Source organism: Homo sapiens, chromosome 13, assembly GCF_000001405.40.
Source record: "Homo sapiens chromosome 13, GRCh38.p14 Primary Assembly".
In the NCBI taxonomy this organism is placed as follows: Eukaryota; Metazoa; Chordata; class Mammalia; order Primates; family Hominidae; genus Homo; species Homo sapiens.
The window spans coordinates 61,281,201-61,285,382 of NC_000013.11; the positions used below are offsets into that span (position 1 = coordinate 61,281,201).

General features: G+C 38.5%; 1 annotated feature.

Annotated features, from left to right (window-relative positions):
• Positions 3,476–3,977: an enhancer, noted in NCBI's record as "NANOG hESC enhancer chr13:61858809-61859310 (GRCh37/hg19 assembly coordinates)". NCBI's record gives its function as "activates a minimal SCP1, AML or CMV promoter by ChIP-STARR-seq in primed H9 embryonic stem cells {active_cell/tissue: H9 hESC(primed)}" and the evidence as "EXISTENCE:reporter gene assay evidence [ECO:0000049][PMID:30033119]".

The window sequence follows — 4,182 nt, forward strand, 5'->3', positions numbered from 1 at the left end:
TTTTTGTATATTTAGTAGAGGTGGGGTTTCACCATGTTCGCCAGGCTGGTCTCCAACTCCTGACCTCAAGTGATCTGCCTGCCTCGGCTTCCCAAAGTGCTGGGATTACAGACATGAGCCACTGTACCTGGCCTGATGATGGTTTTTGATATCTCTATCAGCCGTGTCCAACCCTTTGAATATGAGGACTTTTTGGTATATCTGTAGTGGCAGATATCACAAAATTATGCACAGACTTTTTTATTTTTAGCTCATCAGCTATTGTTAGTGTCAGTGTATTTTATGTGTGGCCCAAGACAATTCTCCCAACGTGCCCCAGGGAAGCCAAAAGGTTGGACACCTGTGATTAAGCTCATCCTTCTCAAATATTTGTTTTGCATTTCCACTCTATTCTTCTTACTTGTTTTGAACCTCTTAGACCCCAAGAATTGACCTAGCCCTAGATGTGCCTGTCATACCTACCCCATCTCCAGAGAGACAAATCAGAAAAAAAATCTGTAACACTGAGGGCAATGGGTACCAAAAATATGTGTAATAGAGCAATTCAAGAGTCCTTGAATTTTGTGTTAAATTTCTATTTATTTATTTATTTATTTATTATTTTATTTTTTGAGAGATGGAGTCTTGGTCTGTGGCCCACGCTGGAGTGCAGTGGCCCAATCTCAGGTCACTGCAACCTCTGCCTCCCAGGTTCAAGTGATTCTCCTGCCTCAGCTTCCCAAGTAGCTGGGACTACAGGCATGCACCATCACCCTCAGCTACTTTTTGTATTTTTTAGTAGAGACAGTGTTTCACTACATGTTGGCCAGGCTGGTCTCAAACTCCTGACCTCAAGTGATCTGCCCGCCTCGGCCTCCCAAAGTGCTGGGGTTATAGGTGTGAGCCACTGTGCCTGCCCGATTCCTTTTAAATAAAAAGTAGCAATATAACTTAAGACAATGGGCAAAATGATAGAATTATGAGGTCAAATTGAAAGCAAAACTATGAAAACCTTATGAATACTATTTTAAATGCAAAAACGATTATACATTACACATTTGATATTTTTCACTCAACTTTTTATTTTCAAGGTCTTTCATAGTTTTTAAACTTATTAGTGGAGTTTTCAGTGTGTTTCTTTATCCTAAGAAACTAACTTTATAACCCTTTTGCCATATAACTAAATATACCTTATGTATTTATTTTAGGAGGTTTTATTATTATGTAGGTATGCTAAGGTGAATAGATTAGAAGAAAATTGCAACTGAAAAGATAGTTTCTTAGTCATATACTATGGTCTGAATATTTGTGCCCCTCAATTAATAACTTGAAATTTTAACTCTCCGGGTGATGTTATTAGGAGTTGGTACCATTACCCGTGGCAAATATTCAAGTTACTGGTGGCAAATATGTACAGGTCCACAGCAACCTTAATTCTTGCCTCCTTAGAAGAACGAATTTGACTGAGGGGTATAAGGCAGAAAAAGAGACTGAGGCAAGTTTTAGAGCAGGAGTGGAAGTTTTATTTAAAAAGCTTTGGAATAGAAAATAAAGGAAGGGATACTTCAAGAGACCCAAGCAGGCACCGAGTGCCATGTTTAATCATGATCCTAGGACTTTATAGGCTGGCCCCTTTCCAGTGATTCTTCCCTTAGGGTGGGCGGCCCACATGCACAGTGCCCTCCTTACCCTTGGGAGGTGAGCACTCACAGTGTGTTTAGGAAGTTGTATGCAAGCCCATCTCAGGCTTTCTTCCCTTTTCCAGTGGTGTGCCCCCAGAAGGTGACACTCCACCATTTTGTCTTTTGATACATATGACTGGGAAGTTGCTTCCCCCAGGAGCCTGCACTCAATTAACAATTTGCAACAGGTGTGGACCATCAGGAACTGGCCTCTCCCTGGAACCACCAATTTATCACTTTTAGAGAGGCAATGTGATAATTGCCAAACAATCATCCAACATTCCTAGTGGATGGAGGAGAGCCTTCCCTGCCCTGCTCATGTCTGCCTAACTACCTGTAACAATACCTTTGGAAAGTGAGGTAGAAATGAAGGTGGAACTTAGTGCCCTTATAAAAGTGGTCTGAGAAATACCCCCTTACCCTTTCCACCATGTAAGGACACAGCTAGAAGGCAATATTTGTGAACTAGGAAGCAGGCTCTCATCACATGGAGTCAATCAGTGTCTTGATCTTGGACTTTCCAGACTCCCAAGACTGTAAGAAATAAATTTCTGTCGTTTGAGTTACTCAGTTTATGATATTTTGTTATAACAGCCCCAATGCACCAAGACAACATAGTTCCTAAGAGGAAGAAGATATGATAAAATGGGGGTTCACACTGAGAAACACGGGGGTCATCTAGTGAGTTCTGGAGAATAGTTGTCTAGTACTTGACCCAGGGGTTGGTAAGGACAGGATAGTCACCTAGAGTGTGAAAGCCTGACATGCGATGTTGTCCTGGACTCTAGATTCATTGATTTGTGTTTGAAAGCATGTTCCTGGGTGAGTTGTTTACTATCCCTAAGAACTGGCTAACTCTAGGAGGTACAGTCCCTCTAAAGTCAGCAAGGCTCCAATGTCAAAGCATTAGAACACAGAAAATAAAATACAGTGCTAACAATATAAGTGAATACAGTGTTCATAGCTGAATATAGTGCTAACAATATAAGTGGCTTATCAAACAATTTCCCTTACCTATGATACAAAAACAGGAATATCAGAATTTAAGAATCAGGCATAGTTTCTGTTAAATCTGTGATGAAAAAAGGTATTTTATATTGTCAATCTAAATTCAAGTTGTGGAAAAACAGAGTACAGACTACTGCCTAGGTCTTTTCATTTTATTTAAAAAGAAAAAAATTGTATTGAAGTATTTCTATTCAGTATTATTCACATGTGTTTTGAGTTTGGGTAATTGTAGACATGAAATGAGTGTCAGAAAGGGCCTTGCAGTCTTTGTACTTTTAAATGCTTGTGGATTTCACTGCAATTTAAGGTCATGTAAACAGAGAAAAAACTCACAACTTTGAAATTGCCATGCTATTCATCAAGGAAACGTTTTTGGGGACCAATTTTTCTATTGGAATAGAAGATAGAGTAGGTCATTTAGAAGCCCTGCACTGTAAAAGTCCAGGTCTCGTTCTCCTTCCCTCCCTCATCACAGCTATCTAAATATTTCTTGATCACTCAAAAGAGATAATCTAACCAATGTACAAAGTGGAAAAAAATAGTAAAGTGTTAAGATGAAGGAGGATATTTCATGCAAATGTATTTAAGACTGGCCTGTTAAACTCAATTGAACACTACTTTTCATATGATTTGAATAGAAAAATATATTCCATATATTATTCAGAGTACTATGAAACAAAACTGAGAAAACCTTGGTGTTTTAGAGGACTTTCGTGTATTTAGTCATTCACTCATTTATTAAACAAATACTCGATTGCCTACTGGGAGCCAGTTCTATTTGCTGGGAATTTAATGCTGAGGATGAGAAGCAGGAACCCTGTCATAAAACAGATTAAGGAAATAAACCACATCTAATCATATCTATATGCACAAGAGTTCCACAAAATCTGAGACTCAAAGAAGGGCCAGAATATTGAAGCTTATATAATTGCATCCTGAGCTAAAGAAAGGAATAGGAAATTGGGGCTTCTTGGGGCAACACAAGTTATGGGAAGGTTAGGCAAGGAAATGTATGGTGAATAAAGGTGGTTTTGTTATGCAGAGAAAAGTCTCCCAGGTAACAATGGATTCCATTCAAGCAGAATGGAATCAATAATCTCACAAGTGTAGACAGAGATAAATTAGTAAAGGAACAAGTAAGCAAAATACATTCAGGCTAGTGATAAGAGTTATGAAGGAAGTGAACAAGGTGATAAATGCTGGAAAGGAAGACATGGATTTAGATACAGTGGAAGGATAAAACTTCTCAGACGAGGTGACATTTGCACTGAAGCCTGAAGTGTAAGACTTTATGGCCTTATGAATCCTTACACTGGAAGCCAAATTAATCGAGAGTTTAGACTGAGCCTTGATTAGAAGAGAGAATTTTTAAGTGCAATGTGGTTCCATTGAATGACTTTAAGCCAATAGTAACACAATCTGTCCTTTTGACAAATTAAAAATAAATACTGTTTTGGTACGATGCTATTCAAAGTATCACTATGCCTATTTTTCTAAATAATTTTAATTAAGT